General features: G+C 46.0%; 11 annotated features.

Annotated features, from left to right (window-relative positions):
• Positions 1,792-1,871: an enhancer, noted in NCBI's record as "active region_15851". NCBI's record gives its function as "activates an Ori minimal core promoter by ATAC-STARR-seq in GM12878 lymphoblastoid cells {active_cell/tissue: GM12878}" and the evidence as "EXISTENCE:reporter gene assay evidence [ECO:0000049][PMID:35858748]".
• Positions 1,942-2,011: an enhancer, noted in NCBI's record as "active region_15852". NCBI's record gives its function as "activates an Ori minimal core promoter by ATAC-STARR-seq in GM12878 lymphoblastoid cells {active_cell/tissue: GM12878}" and the evidence as "EXISTENCE:reporter gene assay evidence [ECO:0000049][PMID:35858748]".
• Positions 4,023-4,550: an enhancer, noted in NCBI's record as "H3K27ac-H3K4me1 hESC enhancer chr2:62532419-62532946 (GRCh37/hg19 assembly coordinates)". NCBI's record gives its function as "activates a minimal SCP1, AML or CMV promoter by ChIP-STARR-seq in primed H9 embryonic stem cells {active_cell/tissue: H9 hESC(primed)}" and the evidence as "EXISTENCE:reporter gene assay evidence [ECO:0000049][PMID:30033119]".
• Positions 4,551-5,076: an enhancer, noted in NCBI's record as "H3K27ac hESC enhancer chr2:62532947-62533472 (GRCh37/hg19 assembly coordinates)". NCBI's record gives its function as "activates a minimal SCP1, AML or CMV promoter by ChIP-STARR-seq in primed H9 embryonic stem cells {active_cell/tissue: H9 hESC(primed)}" and the evidence as "EXISTENCE:reporter gene assay evidence [ECO:0000049][PMID:30033119]".
• Positions 4,642-4,711: an enhancer, noted in NCBI's record as "active region_15853". NCBI's record gives its function as "activates an Ori minimal core promoter by ATAC-STARR-seq in GM12878 lymphoblastoid cells {active_cell/tissue: GM12878}" and the evidence as "EXISTENCE:reporter gene assay evidence [ECO:0000049][PMID:35858748]".
• Positions 4,752-4,821: an enhancer, noted in NCBI's record as "active region_15854". NCBI's record gives its function as "activates an Ori minimal core promoter by ATAC-STARR-seq in GM12878 lymphoblastoid cells {active_cell/tissue: GM12878}" and the evidence as "EXISTENCE:reporter gene assay evidence [ECO:0000049][PMID:35858748]".
• Positions 5,542-5,831: an enhancer, noted in NCBI's record as "active region_15855". NCBI's record gives its function as "activates an Ori minimal core promoter by ATAC-STARR-seq in GM12878 lymphoblastoid cells {active_cell/tissue: GM12878}" and the evidence as "EXISTENCE:reporter gene assay evidence [ECO:0000049][PMID:35858748]".
• Positions 8,637-9,006: an enhancer, noted in NCBI's record as "active region_15856". NCBI's record gives its function as "activates an Ori minimal core promoter by ATAC-STARR-seq in GM12878 lymphoblastoid cells {active_cell/tissue: GM12878}" and the evidence as "EXISTENCE:reporter gene assay evidence [ECO:0000049][PMID:35858748]".
• Positions 12,443-12,492: an enhancer, noted in NCBI's record as "active region_15857". NCBI's record gives its function as "activates an Ori minimal core promoter by ATAC-STARR-seq in GM12878 lymphoblastoid cells {active_cell/tissue: GM12878}" and the evidence as "EXISTENCE:reporter gene assay evidence [ECO:0000049][PMID:35858748]".
• Positions 12,553-12,652: an enhancer, noted in NCBI's record as "active region_15858". NCBI's record gives its function as "activates an Ori minimal core promoter by ATAC-STARR-seq in GM12878 lymphoblastoid cells {active_cell/tissue: GM12878}" and the evidence as "EXISTENCE:reporter gene assay evidence [ECO:0000049][PMID:35858748]".
• Positions 19,679-19,728: an enhancer, noted in NCBI's record as "active region_15859". NCBI's record gives its function as "activates an Ori minimal core promoter by ATAC-STARR-seq in GM12878 lymphoblastoid cells {active_cell/tissue: GM12878}" and the evidence as "EXISTENCE:reporter gene assay evidence [ECO:0000049][PMID:35858748]".

Below are 20,350 nucleotides of genomic sequence, written 5' to 3' on the forward strand. Positions count from 1 at the left end.
GCTTTATTGCACTTTGCAGATATTGCATTTTTTACAAATTGAAGGTTTGTGGCAACCCTGCGTGGAGCAAGTCTATCAGTGCTATTTTTCCAACAGCACGTGCTCACTTCATTAGCATTTTTTAGCAATATTATCTTTTAATTAAGGTATGTACATTGTTTAGACATATGCTATTGCACACTTAATAAACCACAGTATAGGGTAAACATACTTTTATATGCACTGGGAAACCAAAAAATTTTTGTGACTTGCTTTATCATGATATTTACTGCGTGGTGGTCTGGAACTAAACTGGCACTATGCCTGAGGGATGCCTGTATGACTTTGTTCCTACTCTGTCCCTGGAGATTTCCCTTTCTTGCATGGAGCTTGGACATATCAATCTAAAATATATTTTTATATTTTATTAAGTTTTTCTATGCATTTGCAATAGGAGATGACAGCAGTAGGGGGAGTTCACCCTGTGCTCAACATGTTGACCTGAAATTCAATAGTAATTATCCTTACGTTGATTTGTGTTTGTCCTCCATACATCCAACATCTTCTTAACTACTTTAATTGCTTTGTCATTTTCTTCCATGTTCACTAGAATTATCTCAAGATTTTCCTGAGCTGGGAAAATTTCAAGCTTCCTTGATGTTTCTAATTTATCTAATAGCTCTATAAAGCTCTTGTTTTCATCCTGAATTTTTTTCCTTAGCTCTGAATTTCCTTTGCATTTCACTTGGTAGACTTATCAAGTCATCTTTGGGTTCTCGTTTTACTAAATTTCAAAAGCATATTAAATATTTTAAAATTAATTATATACCAAGTTAATACAAATTATTAATTGTTAAATTAATATAATTAACTATTAAATTAAAATGATTAATTAAGTATTATATATTCTTATTTGTTCTACAATGTGAAGCATTCTCAGGAGTTTTCTTCTGTACTTGGGAGAGAGATTTCTCCCAATCTAGATATCTGGATATGTTTATCTTTTTCATGTTGTGTTTCTTGCTTTTTTTGTTCGTTTTTGAGACAGAGTCTCACTCTGTCACCCAGGCTGGAGTTCAGGGGTGCAATTATGGCTCATTGCAGCCTCCACCTCCTGTGCTCAATTGATCCTCCTGCCTTATCCTCCAGAGTAGCTGGGACTACAGGCGTGCGCCACTACACCCTGGTCATTTTTTCTATTTTTCATAGAGACAGGGTCTCACTATGTTGCCCAGCCTGGTCTCGAACTACTGGGCTCAAGTGATCCTCCTGCCTTACCCTCCCAAAGTGCTGGGATTACAGGCATGAGCTGCCGCACTCAGCCTGTTTCTTGCTTATTTTCCTTCTCTTCTTTCTCCTACTCTGCCTTCTCCTTCTTGGTGTTCTTCTTTTTTAAAATCTAGTATGTTGGCTTAGCCTTCATGCTGTCTCTTTTAATTTTGCACAGGTAAGTCTGATCAGACTATCTAACGCTCTGAGAGTGTGAGGACGAATTCTTTTTGACACCTTTTCTAGCTACCTGTCATTTCCTCAATACTAGAGTTTGGGGACTGGGTGGTACTTCCTTCCTGCTTCCTGAGCTCTGAGGGTCACATGGACAGGTGAAGGACAGAGCTGGGCCTGGCTCCCTCCTGACGTGGGCTAGCATCCCACACCTGGGTCTGCTCCACTTGGCAGGCACATGTCCCCTCCTGGGACTTCAGCTCATTCCCTTGGACAGCACAGAGTTCTGAACAGCAGCAAGTCCAGCCAGCCACTCCTCCAGCCGCTGCTGGCTTCTGTGATGGTGCCCAGGGGCTCCTCCTCTCTGGAGCTTCTCCTGGACTCCCCAGGCTGCCTTTAGCATCTTGGCCCTCTTTGTGCCGAACTGAGAGGTGCTGGTGACCCTTCTTGGGATCCTGTTCTCTTACCTTCCCTCATTTGGCTTCAGCTATGTGTGTGGGAGAGAGACAGCTAACATTCCATTCTGAGACCCTCTATTTCTTCCCTCTTGACACCTTTTCAGTCTTATGTCATAAGGTTGTACTATTTTCCATGTGTGGTTGCCTCTGGTTAGCTTTTGACTTTTTTGTTTTTGTTTTGTTTTGAGATGGAGTTTCACTCTTGTCACCCGGGCTGGAATGCAATGGCACAATCTTGGCTCACTGCAACCTCTGCCTCCCAGGTTCAAGCAATTCTCCTGCCTCAGCCTCCCAAGTAGCTGGGACTACAGGCACCCGTCACCACGCCCGGCTAATTTTTGTATTTTTAGTAGAGCCTATTGTCCAGGCTGGCCTCAAACTCCTGACCTCAGGTGATCTGCCCGCCTCAGCCTCCCAAAGTGCTGGGATTACAGAGATGAGCGACTGCACCCTGCCAGCTTTTGACTTTTTTCAAAAAAATTATTCTTTGATCACCTTATGATGTGCCAGGGAGAAGGAGGGGTGCTTCTGGCCTCGCTTGTGCCACCCTTACCCAAAATCCAGGCACATGTGCTGTCGAGGCTCCACGCAAGACCCCAGGAACTCCTGGGTCTTTGCTACCGCCAGAGGGTTGCACCTGCTTCTCAGACAGAAGACCCCCGTCTCATGGTTTCTCTTTCTCAGGCCTCCAAACCCCTGGTTATTTCATCTTTGAAATGAGTGTTTCATATGCAATTAACCTATGTTGAAACTTTACCAACTCTAAAGTGAAATTATACTTCCTTCCTACATCTAACTCTACCTAACCATAGAGTTCCCCTCCCGAGTATTTCTGAAAGTTTCCCAGGGACAGCTTTGCACAGCTCCAGAAAGTATCTCTCACTCTCACTCTACCCTTTTCTTCTTGCTGCCATGATTCTGCCTCTGTAGCTTATGGGACTGGCGACTTAGTGACTCTGCCAGGCCTTGGGAAGGAGACATTGCCCTCCCCAACCCCCCACAGCTCATCTGACCACAGGTTCCACTGAGTTGGGGCATAAAGAAAGCAGCCTTAGAAATTTCCATCTGCCTCCAGAGGAGAAGTGTCTTGTACCCAAAGGCCTCCATTTGGCAGGGGCCACTTTAGCTCCCACCAACAGCAATATACAGGCCCCCTTTCTCCACAGAGAGAGGAAGAAATCCCTCCCTTTCCAGCCCACAACACTCTTCCTTGCCTGCCTTGGGATGACAGACCATGAGGACACCCCTTTCTGTTAGGGGCAATCTCCCTCCTCCCTCCACACCTGAAGGTGTGGTCTGACCCTTTCCCCTCTGAGAAAATAAACCACCATCTTAGTGTCCAGTCTGAGTGTTTTGTTGTCAGAGCCTCAGGCCCGTCTAGGCAGCATTGTTCCCTCCCAGCGCATCGTTACAGCCTTTCCTCCAGCCTGAGGTGAGGAGAGGGTCAGGTCTTCCAACCTCTGGTAACCCCATCTCCCAGGAACAAATGTTGGACAACAAAGCACTCATGTCACCCAGGAGCCAAAGGGCAACCTCAACCAAGATTTTAAAAAATGGACACCTTAGAACATGTGTCTAATTTGTTTGGGGGCGGTTCTACCCATAAACACAATTAATGTTTCCTAACAGGACCCATAATGACTTTGCTCAGAATCACCCCACGTGGGCTTCCTCCAGAACAGCGGAGGCTTCTTGCCTCACAACAGGCGGCCTGCGAATGCTGCCCAACATGGTTAAAATGTGAGCACGCTGGCGGCTGACTCACAGGAAATGGTTCCCAAGGCTATGCCTGAGATAAGGCTGGCTTCTGGAGGCCTCTTTGCAGAGGAACCAATCCCACCCCAACTCCCTGATTGGATAATAAGACTCAGAAGCTCCAGTTCTCCCCTTCCTATGTGGCTTTGCAGGTTCTGTGTCTGACTGGACTGCCACTTTTCTCACGTACCTGTGGTCTGTGCTACAGAACATCCTAGCCACACAAGAAAGGTGGGAGCAGTGGGTGGCTTGAGGCCAACTGAGGTTTCAATCCAGTTCCTCTCCCCTGCCACCTGCCTTACCTGGTGCTACCTCTGCAAACACCACCTGCTGGGACAGTGTGGGTGGGAGGGGCTGGTGAGGAGGATTATTTCCTGTTACTGCCTTGGGGAAGCTGCTGAGGGCATTGCTCACGCCTTTGATCTGGGCATAGAAGGAAGCCACCTGCCCTAGCCAAGGTTTTAGTGCAATGACCAGATGAGAGGCTTCAGGTTACCTCGGGGCCCTGAGTCTGGAATCCAGAGTCACAGAGAATGAGGGAAAGTTGTGGAATCATTGGTGGAGACAGGATTGGAAACCTCTTGCAGCCAGAAAAATCACCATCACAGAGGGAGACTAGAAACCATCTCTGGGCCTGAACCTATCTTTGCTCCCGCCTTTCTTGTGCGGTCAGGTGGTTCTGGGACAGTAACCTCAGGCAGGTGAGAAAAGTGGCAGTGCAGTCAGACAATTCACAGAGGCCAGACGGGACAGGGAGAACTGGAGCTTCTGAGTCTTATTATCCAACCAGCCAGGCAGTGGGGGTGGGCTTCGCTCTTCTCTGCAGAGAGGCCTCCAGAAGCAACCTTATCTCAGGCACAGCTTATGAAGCTCTTTCCTGTGAGCCAGCCACCAGTGTGCTCAAATCTTAACAAACAGCATGACCTTTACTTAATAAAGGCCTGGGGGAAAGCCAGGGCAAGCGTTCCCACTTTAAAGTGCTTCATAAACGACGTGGCACCTGCAGTCACAAGGATGACATGATTAGCCTGCTGTCACCTGAGTCATTTTTTCCAGATGTGGTGAGGGGCAAGGCAGCCAGCTGGTGTCATGGAAAAAGCTCTGGATTCGAGTCTCGGTCAGATGTTGGCTACCCACTCAAACTGCTGCCGTGGCAGCCCTGCCTCCTTGCACGGCCGTTTCACATCTCTGATGTGGGAGATGAAGAGGGGTATGATCCATGCCTGGTATTTTGCAAACAGAATGCATGCATTCATAGATATGAGAGCACTGAAAAAACCCAAGCTCTTGATTCGGCAGCCAGACTGTGTAGGGGGATGTTCACTAGACTTGGTGTTTAAAGACTCAGGTAGGATCCAAGCTAATTCTATTTTTTTTTTTTTTTTTTTTTTTTTGAGACAGAGTCTCCCTCTGTCACCCAGGCTGGAGTGCAGTGGTGCGATTTCGGCTCACCGCAACCTCCACCTCCCGGGTTCAAGCAATTCTCCTTCCTCAGCCTCCCAAGTAGCTGGGATTACAGGCATAAGCCCCCAGCCTGGCTAGTTTTTTGTCTGTTTGGTTGGTTGTTTTTGTTTTTGTTTTTGTATTTTCAGTAGAGATGGCATTTCACCATGTTGTCCAGGCTGGTCTCGGACTCCTGACCTCAAGTGATCCGCCCACTTCAGCCTCCCAAAGTGCTGGGATTATAGGTGTGAGCCACCATGCCCAGATGGATCCAAACTAATTCTTAGTCATGTAAATCTAAGCAAGTGACTTAGTGTCTCCGGATCTCAGTTTTCTCCACTGTGGAATGGAATGGTTATAATCACCCTGCACCCGGCTCTCCTGAGAGGTAGATGAAATCAGATGGGGATGCATGGGAAGTGCTGTGGGGGCGGCGTACTCCGATGTTATTTGATGCTGTCTAAGGTTAAGCCTTCTTATTTGGGCTACTAGGGCAGAGCCCATCTGGGCCTCCCAAGTCCATTCTCTTTCAAGAGAAGAGAGCAGCTGCCAGTTGCCCTGGTAACCCAGACCAGCAGCAGGCTTCCTGCAGGGACTTTCCTGCCCTGGCACAGTTGTCAGTTTCCCTTCTCAACCTTAGCTGAGGCCGAAAGTGTGGTGGAGACACAGGTTTCTCAAGCAGGGCCCTCAGCAGAGCACACCGTGCCCACTGGCATTATTGCCACAACTTCTCCTTGCTTTGTGGAAGAGAATCTGGTTACACATCTTACTGGTTTTTCTGCTTTCTTTCTGTGACTCATCATGTTTGTGAATATTTCAGGTAAACACTTGGAGGGGGCAGCCTTCTTGGCTCAGTTTTCTGCTCTCTGTGTTCTCTGTGCCAGGCTGGTGACCCTCCTCTCTGTGTCCAGCCCCCTGTCCCCTGGAAATAGGTAAGGCATCTGAGATTGCTGGCTGCCTCGTCTGTCTTCAGCCAGGACCTGAGGGGTTTGTCTCTGTAGCAGTGGAGTTCATTCACTGCTATCCTTTGTGAAGAGTGGAAGCTGCCCATTTCTCCCCTGCCCTTCCTGACAGGAAACTAGCACTGGCTGAAATTTCTCCAGGGCTGACCTGCCTCTCGGTGTCCTGGTCCCATGTTCAATATAAAAGTCCTATGAATCGCCACAGTCTTCAGGAGTAACACTTCCTATTCCCAGAAAGTCAGGACCAGCCTGGGAGGACTTCGCACCTTCCTGGGATTTGCTCTTTTGACCATCCCCTATCTGTTTTCCTGTAATTATCTGCTGTGAAACTTACAAAACTAAAATGCCATGAGTGCTTATCTACGGGGCAACCAAAAAAGAGAAGGCCTTGAACCTGAGTCCCTCTGTACATGTGGGTTTCTATGAGGGGTGGGTAGGCACTGCCTGATGAGGGGGCAAGAAAGCCTAGAGCTGACAGGGCACCAGGGAGGGGCCGAGGAGCCTGCCTAGCAAGGAGACCTGTGGGCGAGTCCCTGATCTGTGCCAGCCAGGAAGTTGTAGAAGGCAGGGAGCAGTTGCCATGCTTATGTGATTCTTGTAGGAGTGGTCCCTGAGATTAGTTGGAAAGGCCCTTTATCAAGGATCGGAGCGCTATCCAAACTCTTGGTTCACAGGAATAATAAGTGTAAAAGCATGTAACATCCCTCGTAGCTGTCCTTTATCGACGTTTCCTCTGTGCCCTGCCTTATCTCATGCTCATGTTAAACCTGGGAGGTGGTAGTTTTATCATCACCATTTTACAGAAAAGGAAAACCAAAGAGCAACCACGTGGGCTAGGAATGTCGCATCCGAGTGGCTTTTACAGAAGCGTGCTAGATGCCAGGTGCCCTGCAAGGTGCTTTCCCAAGTACCATCTGGAATCCTCAGAAGAGGTCTGTGGGGTAGGCTCTATTATCCCTGCTTTATAGGTGAGGCCCATAAGGTCTGCAGAAGGTGATGTGCCCAGGGTGTGAGTGCAAGTCTGTCTGTCAACCCCGCTGCAGCTTTCTGCAGCACAGAAAGCTGGTCCAGCTCTTCAACTGGTTAGAAGGCTGGTTAGAAATCAGCCACAGGTCCCTGTCACATCCCAGACCATCACAGACCTCCGTGCTGCTGGAGGATGGCAACCTGCTCTTGACTGGCTCTCCCACCCTCTAATCCCTAAGCAGGCCTGAGAGAGAGGAAGGAAAAGGGAACACCTGGCCCAACAAGGGGCTTGGACCCGGGTCACCTGTACCTACCATGTTTACTTGCACAGTCTCCTCACCTTCTGTACTTATTCTGAGGGTGCATGAGCTTGGCCATTATAAACCAAGGAGACAAACTTATTTATTAGCTGCTGTGAGTCCTACTCTGTGCCTTTCCTGCTCACAAAATCTCTGTGAGGCAGAGAGCAATCCCCATTCCACAGAAGCAGGAATTGAGATAGAGGGGTCACGAATGAACCTCCCGGGTTCAAGCAATTCTCCTGCCTTGGCCTCCCGAGCAGCTGAGATTACAGGCATGCACCACAATGCCTGGCTAATTTTTTGTATTTTTAGTGGAGATGGGGTTTCACCATGTTGGCCAGGCTGGTCTCGAACTCCTGATCTCAAGTGATCTGCCCAACTTGGCCTCCCCAAAGTGCTGGGATTACAGGCGTGAGCCACTGCACCCAGCCGAGGTTCATTCTTACACTTAATAAAAATACACATATCAGACAGTCTGCTTGATGATTTATATTTTTTGTAGCTAAGGTCTTGTCAGATCTGAGTAGAGCATCATGTTTTTCAATAATCACAAGAGCTAGCTTTTATTAAGGGCTTACTGTGTCCAGTGCTGTTCTAAGCATGTCACATACTGTATTAATTCACTTAATCCTCACAACTGCCCTCTGAGGTGGCAACTATTATTATCCCCATTTTGCAGATGAGGAAACAGAGGCCCAGGGAGGTCAGATAACATGCCCATATAGCTAGAGAGTGGCAGAGCTGGGGGGAACCCTGTCGGTCTGGCTCCAGAGCCCATTGTATAGCAGCCACCTCTGCCCACCCTGGCCTGGCTAGGCCTCAATGCCAGAAACACACCATTCTCTATCTCCTGGAGGGTAACAGAGCTGCCATTATCCCAGGAGGCAAGGCTGTCCCAAGAGCATAGACCAGTAGTAGGGTTGGTTGCCAGCTTCTAGGTGTCGCCTCAAGGCTCCTTGCTGCTTCAATTATTATTCTAATAGTTCTGAGCTAGGCATGAGGTAATCTGAGCTTTTAGACCTTGGCTATTTCACTGAGGTTTGCTGTGAGGCTTCAGTTTTGTCATCTAAAACAGCACTGTCCTTCTAGAGTTGCTGTGAGGACAGGAGAGGAGTCTGCCAAGCACTTAGCAGGGGCCTGGAGGGCAGAAAGCATTCAGTGATGGGGAGGAGAGGAAAGCTCACAGAGCCTCGGTCCACGTGGCTCAGCTCTGTGCTGGAGCTGCGATGCGGTCAAAAGACCATGAAACAAAACGTGATTTCAAAATAACTCAAGTCTTTCACGTGTGTTTCTCACACCGATAAGTGAACGTAGTCCTTCGTTAGACTGCACTCGATTCTCACGGTGGCCATGTGAGAGGCACAGTTCTTCTTGCACGTCCCCCTCCGTCTTCTCCCACACATGGCTCTCACTTGCTGCAGGGGCTCCCGGTCTGGCTCTCAGTTTCCGTTTCCTCTGATTTTTATCTCACAAATGGCTGGCAGGGCGGGGCTCCTTCCTTGGAGGGTGGGCTCCAGGAGGAACTGAGGAGAGTGTAACCAGGACCCTCATTAGGGGCCATGGGGGTGGGAAAGGTTGGGAACTCGCCAGTCATTTTTATCCCATCACATGAATTATTATTTTTGGCAGAGGAGAAGGTGTCTGTGTTAGTACCACAAACTGTGGCTTAAAATGACAGAAATCTATTCTCTTACAATTCTGGAGGTTAGAAGTCAGAAATCAAGGTGGTGGCAGGGCCATGCTCTCTCTAGAGTCTCTAGGAGAGGGGCCTTCTGAAAAAAGAAAAACTTCAGCTGAATTACATTTAAGAGTTTAATTGAGTTTAATTAAATGAACAATTTGTGAATCGGACAGCCCCCAAATCAAGCGTATTCACAGAGACTCCGGCGCAGCTACATGGTGGAAGAAGATTTATAGACAAAGGGAAATGATGTACAGAAATTGGAAGTGAGGTACAGAATGACCGGATTGGTTACAGCTCAGTGTTTGCCTTATTTGAACGTAGTTTGAACACTCAGCAGAGTATGAATGGTTGAAGTATAGCCTCTGGGATTGGCCAAGACTTAGTTATTGTTACAGGCGCATACTCCTAAATTAGGTTTTCAATTTTGTCTGACTATTAAGCTAGGTTACAGTTCATCCACAAGGACTCAAATATAGAAGTACAGAGTCCTTCTCAGGACATATATAGTTTGCTTTAACACTTCCTTGCCTCTTCTAGCTTCTTATCGTTCCTGGCATTCCTTGGCGTTTCTTGCCTTGTAGACCCATCATATTCATTTCTACCTCCATCTTTATGAGGTCTTTTCCCTGTGTATTTGTGTCCAAACTTTCCTCTTCTTATAGGGACACCAGTCATTGGATTAGGGACCACTCTAGTTGAGTATGACTTTATCCTAACTTGATTGCATCTGCAAAGACTATTCCCAAATAAGGCCACATTCACAGGTTTGGGGGCCAGCATATATCCTTTGGGGGAACATAATTCAACCCAGCCTGTAACAATGTCATATCATTCAGATTGATTCTGAGCTAGCCCATTCCCAGTCTAACATCTCCAAACCTGGTTCCCCTAGACCCTTGAGCTTGTCTGCGACTCTTGTCCAAATGAAGCTGTGAGGCGAGCTGCCCTGCTGACCAATGGCAGGGCCTCCCTTCTGGCTCCAGGCTCTGCACTGAAGTGCAATGGGCCAACCAGGTACTTGCCCAATGCCATGGGTGAAGCCAAGGAGGGCATAGCCAGTAGGAAATATATTCTACAGAAGTGATCACTTTTCAGTTTAAAAAAAAAAAAAAAAAAGGCCGGGCGCGGTGGCTCACGCCTGTAATCCCAGAACTTTGGGAGGCCGAGGCGGGTGGATCACGAGGTCAGGAGATCGAGACCATCCTGGCTAATACGGTGAAACCCCGTCTCTACTTAAAAAAAAAAAAAAAATTAGCCGGGCGTGGTGGCGGGCGTCTGTAGTCCCAGCTACTTGGGAGGCTGAGGCAGCACAATGGCGTGAACCCGAGAGGCGGAGCTTGCAGTGAGCGGAGACCGCACCACTGCACTCCAGACTGGGAGACAGAGCGAGACTCCGTCTCAAAAAAAAAAAAAAAAGTAATTAATTGATATGTTTTAAAGGTATATGTCAACATAATGTTTTATTAAGATTATGAGTGAAATTTTTTCTTCTATGAAGAATCAATGTGAAGTTATGGTTAAAATATCAATCGCTATATCATATTAGGAGATAAAAGAGGAACTATTCAATAACTGAAGCTAGGAAAACATCCATATGGAGAAAAATGAAACTGGGCAATGTCAAAGCATGTCTTCATTGTTTATCTTGGTAGAAAAGATAGAGGACTGTCTTTCTTGGACTAAAGAAGGGAAGAGGCCAGGCACGGTGGCTCACACCTGTAATTCTAACATTCTTGGAGGCCAAGGTAGAGGGATCACTTGAGGCCAGGATTTTGAGACTAGTCTGGGCAACAAAGCAGACCCTGTCTCTATAAAAAAATGTTTTAAATTGTCTGGGTGTGGTGGCATGTGCCTGTAGTCCCAGCTACTCAGGAGACTGAGGTAGGAGGATTGCTTGAGCCCAGGAGTTCCAGGCTGCAGTGAGCTACGATTGAGCCACTGCACTGAAGCCTGAGTAAGAGAACAAGACCTGTCGCTAAAAAATATTTAAAAAGAGGGGAAGAATTCTTAAATTAGGTACAAAAAAGTACCAACCAAAAAGAGAACAGATTGATACATTTTATTATTATTATTGACTATTATTGACTATATTAACTATATTATAAAATTGAATATTCACATTCTCTATGACCCAATGTGTGCATCAAGATATATCTATTAGAATACCCTTAGGAGCTCTGTAGATATCAGCAAAAACAAACAAAATCAAACCAGAAACATCCCAAATGTCCACTGACAGGTAAATGAATAAGCAAATTGAAATATTCACACTGTAGAATATTACACAATTAAAGCAATGAACTATAACTACATGCTACACTGTTCTTACAATATAATTATATATAGACTACCTATAACATAATACCTTTCTATCAAGTGTTCTTCATTTATTTATTTTTTGAGACAGGGTCTAACTCTGTCACCCAGGCTGGAGTGAAGTGGTACAACCTCGGCTCACTGCAACCTCCACTTCCCAGGCTCAAGTGATCCTCCCGCCTCAGCCTTCTGAGCAGCTGGGACAGCAGGCACATGCCACCATGCCCAGCTAATTTTTGTATTTTTTTGTAAAGATGGGTTCTTGCCATGTTGCCCAGGCTAGTCTCTAACTCCTGGGCTCAAGCGATCCTCCCACCTTGGCCCCCAAAAGTGCTGGGATTATAGGTGTGAGCCTCTGTGGCTGGCCCTCTAACAAGTTTAAAAACAACTAAAACTAAACATTTATTAAGCATTACGTTAATCAAATATAATTTAACATTAATTAAACATTAATTAAGGATAACACTAATTTAACTATTTTTTAAAGGAAGAAAATTATTAGGACAAAATGGAAGTAAAGGGGTAAAGGGAAGCACACAGGTAAATGTAAGTTATTGTTGATATTTTAGGCCAGGTGCAGTGGCTCATGCCTGTAATCCCAGCATTTGGGAGGCCAAGGCTGGTAGATCACTTGAGCCCAGGAGTTTGAGACCAGCCTGGGCAACACAGGGAGACCTCGTCTCTACAAAAATAATAAAAATTTAAAAAATTAGTTGAGCTTGGTGCACCTGTTACAGGTGCACCTATAGTCCCAGCTATAGCTACTTGAGGTGGGAGGATCACCTGAACCTGAAGAGGTCAAGGTTGCAGTGAGCCGTGATTGTGCCACTCCCCTTGGTACCAGTGAAACCCTGTCTCAAAAAAAAAAAAATTAGATCTTGGGTTGACAGATGTGTTCACAGGTGTTCAGATACATATAATTTTGAAATAAATTAATAAAATAAAAGAAAGCCATGCTAGGAAAAAAGGAAATATCAATGGTCAAGTTGCTAGGCTGTATGCCATGAAGAGCAGTTAGTCAAAGAGAATCACCTTTTCAGATGTGCCCTATCGCCCACCAGCCAGTAGTGGACAGCTCCCTGTCATGGGATAACCTGGCTGTGCTTCTCCTGGAACTTGGGCCTTACCATCTGGGAGTCCCCATTTAGTTGAGAAGCTGCAGAGGGAGTTTATTTCTGTGGCCTTGTAATGGGGCACACCTTCTGTTTGGGGGGGAAGTTCCCTCCTGTTCCAGGGAGATCATGAAGCAGCAGCTGCGTTGGCAAGGGCAGAGAAGATGTCCTAGTGATGGCTATTAAGGGGTCCCTCCCTTGCAGAAAAGGATTAGTGTCCAGCTAGCAGAGAAACACTTGCCAGGTACTTAATAGGTTCTATTTGATGGTAGTAGAAGCTCTCCCCAACACACATGCCCACTCAGCCAGGGAGAAGGTAGCAGGAAGGAAGGAGGCCCCCTGAGTATTGTGACCACAGAGATAGCCTGCCCCTGCAACCACACCCACACACTGAGGTTTCACCAGGGTGTAGGGGAGTGGTGGTTAAAAGACAAGAGAAGAGTCAGATACTATTATCTCCAAGTTTTGCTCCAAAATATGAGCTCTGAAAGTGAACGTGAGGACCCATTTCCATCTGTCCCCTACCCCATTCTACTCCCAGGTATAAGTTGCTTACCAAGATGAATAATGAGGGTTCTTTACAGCTTGTAAAATACTTTTTTAAAACATCATCACATTTGGTCCTCCTTAAAAAAAACCCAGTGGGGGTGGTTATCGTGCTTACCTTTATTTTTTAGATGAAAAAAAAAACTGAGGCTTGGAGAGGATCAGCGACTTGTCTAAGGTGATAGACTTGGAGGCAGAGATGAGAGGAAGGCTTCTGACTCCCTCTTATGCCATGTTCCCAGAGGGAGTGCCCAAAAACATGCTGTCTCAGCAGGAAGCAGCCACTACCCAAAAGCAGAATGGGAGGAAAGGAACAGGGGCCACATTTGGTCCTTACTAGCCAGTGCAGAAATGATGGTACTGGAAGGAGATATTTAGAGAGTGGCCCTTCTGTCACCTGATCCAAAGGCCAGGAATTGAAGGAGCTATGTCCTAGAGCAGCAGAGTTCTGTTAATTTGTTGTCTGTGCCTTCTGTATAATATCACTTTGTGCCCCTGGATATGCTGTTTTCTCCAGTGAGTCTAGGGAAGGAACTCTGAGGGATCATTTCACTGTCACTAAAAAACAAAACAAAACAAAACAAAAAAAAGTTTAAAAGGGATGCTTCAAAGTTTGATGCTCTAGTTGTTTTTAATCAAGCAGGGATTGCTCATTGTAAAAGTAATTTGGGATAATATAATCAAATAAAAAGTAGAAAAAAGAGTCACACCACCCAGGGATAATCACTTGTCCATCACCAACTTATCCCTGGCAGGGAATCTGCAGACAACATAGCACTGTTACCTCCCTTTGAGGCCTCAAATAATTTCTAACAGAAAGAGGCTGTTTTTGCTTAGGATGCAGATGAATAAAGAACAGAACTCCTCAGGCCGGGTGCAGTGGCTCACGCCTGTAATCCCAGCACTTTGGGAGGCCGAGGCAGGTGGATCACAAGGTCAGGAGATCGAGACCATCCCGGCTAACACGGTGAAACCCCGTCTCTACTAAAAATATAAAAAATTAGCTGGGCATGGTGGCGGGCGCCTGTAGTCCAAGCTACTTGGGAGGCTGAGGCAGGAGAATGGCATGAACCCGGGAGGCGGAGCTTGCAGTGAGCTGAGATCGTGCCACTGCACTCCAGCCTGGGTGACAGAGCAAGACTCCACCTCAAAAAAAAAAAAAAAAAAAAAAAAAGAACAGAACTCCCATCCAAACGGTGAGAAAAAGACGTATAATCTACAAATCATACCTTTTCTTGAACTCGTCAGAGAGCTGAGGTCGCAAGGCAATGAAATGAACTGAATTCCAAAGAGTAACTATCCCCCGTGAGAAGAAATAGGGAACAGGGGCTATTTTACCTTTGCCCAGGACTGGCTACATCATTTACAGATTTATAGGACCCAGTGAAAAATATGGGGAACTTCTGAGCACAGGGCACTGTGTGACTGCACAGCTTGGATACCATGAGGGGGGTCCTGTCTTTGGCAGAGAACAGAAGGAAGTGGCCACCACCGGTGTTGGTAAAAAGGAAGGAACTCAAATGTCTTGGATTCCCGAAGACTAAGTATGGATTAGCATTCAGTTTATTTATTAATTTATTTTTGAGACAGAGTCTTGCTCTGTCACCCAGGCTGGAATGCAGTGGTGCAATCTTGGCTCACTGCAACCTCCTCCTCCCAGGTTCTAGTCATTCTCATGCCTCAGCCTCCCAAGTAGCTGGGATTACAGGCCTGCACCACCATGCCTGGCTAATTTTTGTATTTTTAGTAGAAACAGGGTTTCACCATGTTGGCCAGGCTGGTCTCAAGACTCCTGACCTCAAGTGATCTGCCTGCCTCAGCCTCCCAAGGTGCTGGGATTACAGGCGTGAGACACTGCACCCGGCGCGTATCAGTTTAGAATGACTGGGAGCCCCAGAGAGAAGGGGAGTTTGTCACTACAAGCCCTTTTCCATGGGCCTCCACTAGGTGCTCATGAGAAAAAATGGGGATAGGGCAAGAGCCCCATGCTTGATGGTGCAGGCATTCAAGATGATGCAGGCAACCCTACGCCAGGGTGTAGCCAAGAAGTGGGTGGGGACTCACTTCCAAAGACTCCTCTTTCATCAAGTAAAAGCATCAAGCAGCTAGAAGAATGGCAGCAAACAGTTTCCACCCCAGAGCCACAGGTGTAGAAGCAGAGTCTGGCTGCCTTTGGGAAACAGTAGGAAACTCTCATTCTACACTGGCAAGGGCAAAGATCCACTGCTTCTGGGATAAGAGTCAAAGCAAAAGCTGACTTCTCCTGGGAAAACAGGGGTAGGAAAACCTTCTGGGCCTAGGATTCTGCACCAATATACAGTGGAGACGTGTGAGTCTGGAGGAGGGACTCTTGCTATGTTGCTCAGGCTGGTCTTGAACTCCTGGCCTCAAGCAATCCTCACACCTCAGCCTCCCAAAGTGCTGGAATTATAGGCATAAACCACTATGACTGGCCGGAGGGGCTCTTTTACACCCAAGACCCAGCACAGATTCCAGGACAGAGTTTGGTTGCCATGGGGATGGGAAAGGAGCAGAAACTCTGAGAAGGCCTCAACCACAGGGCTCAGGCTCACAGCCTCTGCCTAAGACTGAGGCTGGACCAGGAGAAGCAAGAATGCCCTTAGACCCTACCATGAGCCTAACATCAAGTAACAAAATAACAGCAATCTATATTAATCAAAACTTAACTGGGCGTGGTGGTGCGCACCTGTAATCCCAGCTACTGGGGAGGCTGAGGCACGAGAATCACTTGAACCCGGGAGGCAGAGGTTGCAGTGAGCCGAGATCATGCCACTGCACTCCAGCCTGGGCGACAGAGTGAAATTCTGTCTCAAAAAACAAACAAACAAACATATTGGCTGTATTAGTAAGCTTTTGCTAGATTGTGCTATGGAAACAACCAACCCCAGAAGCTCCGCGGCTTATGAAAACAAAGGTTTGCTTCTTTGTCATATCACATGGCCTTCATGAGTGGGTTTGGCCCTGCCTCATATCTTGTTCATTTTAGGATTCAAGTTCAAGGAACAGCACCCTCCTATCTGAAAGACAGAAAAAGGGACATCAGAACCACATGAAGACTCTTTTTTTTTTTTTTTTTTTGAGACAGTCTCATTCTGTTGCCCAGGCTGGAGTGCAATGGCGCGATCTCGGCTCGCTGCAACCTCCGCCTCCCTGGTTCAAGAGATTTTCCTGCCTCAGCTTCCCAAGTAGCTGGGATTACAGGTGCCTGCCACCATCCCCGGCTAATTTTTGTATTTTTTAAAGTAGAGATGGGGTTTCATCATGCTGGCCAGGCTGGTCTCAAACTCCCGACCTCAGGCAATCCACCCACCTCAGCCTCCCAAAGTGCTGAGATTACAGGCGTGAGCCACCGTGCCCGGCCCACATGAAGACTCTTAAAGCTTCTCAGAAATGGCCTGTGTTGCTTCTGCTCACATTTCATTGGCTAAAGCAAGTCACTCGCCAAGCCCGATGTTAGCAGGGTAGAAAAGTGTAAGCATCTTGCAGAGAGGAGCAGTAAATAACTGAGGATAATGATACAGTCTACCTCCTGAGCATTTAAGAAGCCTTAAATATAGCATCAAAACATTTTTCCTGGAACTAAAAACGTGATTTTCTGATTAAAAACTCAGTAGATGTATTCAAAGAGCTCATGGGCAAAGTGGTGATAAAAGAAAAACTTCAGCCAAATTAAATTTAAAGGAGTTTAATTGAGCAGGGAACAATTTGTAATTCAGGCAGCCCCCAGAATCACAGCAGATTCACAGAGACTCTCGGGGTGCCTCGTGGTCAGGACAAATTTTTAGACAAAAAAGGGTAAAGTGAAGCGGCCGGGCACGGTGGCTCACGCCTGTAATCCCAGCACTTTGGGAGGCCGAGGTGGCCGGATCATGAGGTCAGGAGCTCGAGACCATCCTGGCTAACAAGGTGAAACCCGTGTCTACTAAAAATACAAAAAATTAGCTGGGCGTGGTGGCGGGCGCCTGTAGTCCCAGCTACTCGGGAGGCTGAGGCAGGAGAATGGCTGAACCCGGGAGGCGGAGCTTGCAGTGAGCCGAGATTGTGCCACTGCACTCCAGCCTGGGCGACAGAGCAAGACTCTGTTTCAAAAAAAAAAAAAAAAAAGGTAAAGTGACGTACAGGAATCAGAAGTGAGGTACAGAAACAGTGAGATTGGTTACAGCTCTGCGTTTGCCTTATTTGTGCGTAGTTTGAACATTCAGCAGTCTATGAGTGGTTGAAGTATGACCACTGGGATTGTCCAACACTCAGTTATTGTTACAGGTACATACTATTAAGTTAGGTTTTCAATTTTGTCTGACTATTAAGCTAGGTTACAGTTCATCCACAAGGACTCAAATATAGGAGTACAGAGTCCTTCTCAGGCCATATTTAGTTTGCTTTAACAGTAGAAATATTAATCAGTAGCCTGGAAGATCAAATGGAAGAAAATCTCAAATCATAGCACAGAACTTCAAAAAGATGAGGGAATATAATCACTATATTATTATCAAAACTTACATACATTAATATACTTAATTTATACTAACACCTATGAGTTAGCTATTATTACTCACCAACCCATGTCACAGCTGAGGAAACTGAGGCTCAGAGGGGTAAGGAACAATCCCAGGGTTGCACAGCTGGTGTTCAGACCCAGGTAGTTGCGCTTCTGTCACTGTGCTGTGAAGTGCTGGTTTGTTGTTGTTGTTGTTGTTGTTTTAAATTTAACTTAATTTTATTTTAAGTTCCAGGATACATGTGAAGGATGTGTAGGTTTGTTACATAGGTAAACATGTGCCGTGGTGGTTTGCTGTGCTGTTGTTAATCACATGTTTTTGCTTCTTAATGCCCATGCAATTTTGCCATGATAAAAGGCTTAGAGGATTGATCCAGGAGACCTAATTTAAGAAACAGAAATTCAAGAAGGAGAAAAGGAATTGTTGGAGGAAGTACAGGGATTAAATAAATGATGAAGTTGAGGTGGGAGGAACACTTGAGTCGGAGGTCAAGGCTGCAGTGAGCTGTGATCATGCCACTGCACTCCAGCTTGGGCAACAGAGTGAGACTCTGTCAAAACAAAGAAAGAGAGAGAGAGAAAGAGAAAGAGAAAATGCTTCTGTGATTAAAAAAGACTTGTTATTTAAAAGGGCTCATTGAATTCCAGCCTGGATTGAGAAAAAAAGGCACACATCTAGAAATATCCTGTAAAAAGCCCTCAACTTCCAGGATAAAGAGAAATTTCTGTAAGTTTCCAGGCAAAAAGAACAAATGACTTATAAAGGAGTATCAGACCTTCCTCAGGCTTTTCATCTACAACAATGGAAGCTAGAAGATTGCAGAATAAAATCTAATGACAATGAGAGTAAAAAGACCTTGAAAAATTAGCCAGGCATGGTGGCTGGCGCCTGTAGTCCCAGGTACTCGGGAGGCTGAGGCAGGAGGATCGCTTGAACCCGGCAGGTGGAGGTTGCAGTGAGATCACGCCACTGCGCTCCAGCCTGGTAACAGAGCAAGACTCCGTCTCAAAAAAAAAAAAAAAAAAAAAAAAAAAAAAGACCTTGGCCTAAGGATCTGACACCCAGGCTGACTGACAGGCCTCACTTATCAGGGTGAGAGAATGTTTTCTGTGGATATGATATGGGTCAGAGAGTACTGCACCCACACACTCTACTTGGGGAATTTATTCAAGAAAAGCCTCCATCCAAGCAACATGTGAATCAATCCCAAAGGTGGTATGTGCTTAAAAAATAATAAATAAAGGCCAGGCACAGTGGCAGTGGCTCACACCCGTAATCCTATCACTTTGGGAGGCTGAGGCGGGTGGATTGCCTGAGTTCAGGAGTTCGAGACCAGCCTGAGCAACACAATGAACTGTCTCTACTAAACTACAAAAAAATGAGCTGGGTGTGGTGGTGTCCGCCTGTAATCCCAGCTACTTGGGAGGTTGAGGCAGAAGAATCACTTGAACCTGGGTGGTGCAGGTTGCAGTGAGCCAAGATTGTGCCATTACACTCCAGCCTGGGTGACAGAGCAAGACTCCATCTCAAAAATAAATAAAAATAAATAAATAAATAAATAAATAAATAAATAAACCAAATGAATCAAAGCAAAAATCTCAGCGTAGTGGAATATGATAAAAAGAGGAAACAATAATAGTGAGACATAAGCCTAATACATATCTATTTATCTAAATTTAAATGAATACTGATAGAGCTACTAGGAAATTATTCTATAAATTTGGTTTTATGATTGTGGTGGGAGATTTAAAAACTCTCCTTTTAATCAAATCTAAACAGGCCAAAAAATAGTGAAATCATAAAGAAATGAAATATTTCATTAAAGGCCCAATTATAGTAAGTGTTAACTCAATTATAGTAAATGTAAATGTTAATGTTTACAATGATAATAAAGGTTACAATGGTAGGAAATGTACTCTATGTGTGGCAGAGGCACCTGGCAGCCTTAACTTACGCATACGCTGAGAATGACTACGGTCCAAGAAGAAACTGTTTTTGGAGTTACAACCTAAGGAATCCCGGAGTGGCCAACCTGGAGATTCACTCCCTGTGGTTTGAAGGACATCAGAGCTTCTGGCCCATCCTGTGGAATGCAGGCCACACAGGGGATCTAGGCATTTTGTTTTGGGTTAAATGGAGGCTGCTAGGTGCTTGCTTTTCACAAAGGGTAGCAGTCTTTCTGTTCAGCCCACTGCCACTGGACTGTCCCTATTTTTAAATGCCCCCAGTAAACCCTTTGTCTCGTTCACTCTCTCTGGATCTCTTTTTGTCCCCTCAGACACAGTGCCATTCCTACTGGAGTCAACTGGGGTCTGGCACAACAGCCTATGAATAGAGAGAGTGAGAATAAGGCTGCTTTCCTGCGTAGAGACCCCACCATCTCAGGGACACTAAATGCTCCTCTCAGGGAACATTCTTCTGCTCACTGACCTTTAAATCAAGATGAGAAATGACTCCTTTGGTTTGAGGTTTTGTTCTCTGTTCAGAGATCTCCCAGGGAAGTCTTTATTTTAATCTATGGCCATCACCTTCCCTTCAACAGAAATCTGCTTGTTAAATTCTATCCTGAGAAGAGATTTAATAAGGGATAAATGGGGAGAGTATAAATTCAAGGGAAGGGTATCTAAGGGAGTGAGACAGGTGGGGAAAAGACCCTGAAGCTATTAAAAAGGGTAGTTCTGACCCACCTCAAGCCCACCTTGCCTGTCTCCCAGGCTGGGATACATACTCCCGGCCCTTCTCTCTCTGCTCCCATCTCTTCCTGTTCTTCCCTATCATCTCTCCGTGCCTACATTTCAATTGTTAAATTAATGGGGGATGGGACAAAACATTTCTCGTTCCTTCAACCTAATTCCTGAGAGAAG

Source organism: Homo sapiens, chromosome 2, assembly GCF_000001405.40.
Source record: "Homo sapiens chromosome 2, GRCh38.p14 Primary Assembly".
NCBI classification, from domain to species: domain Eukaryota; kingdom Metazoa; phylum Chordata; class Mammalia; order Primates; family Hominidae; genus Homo; species Homo sapiens.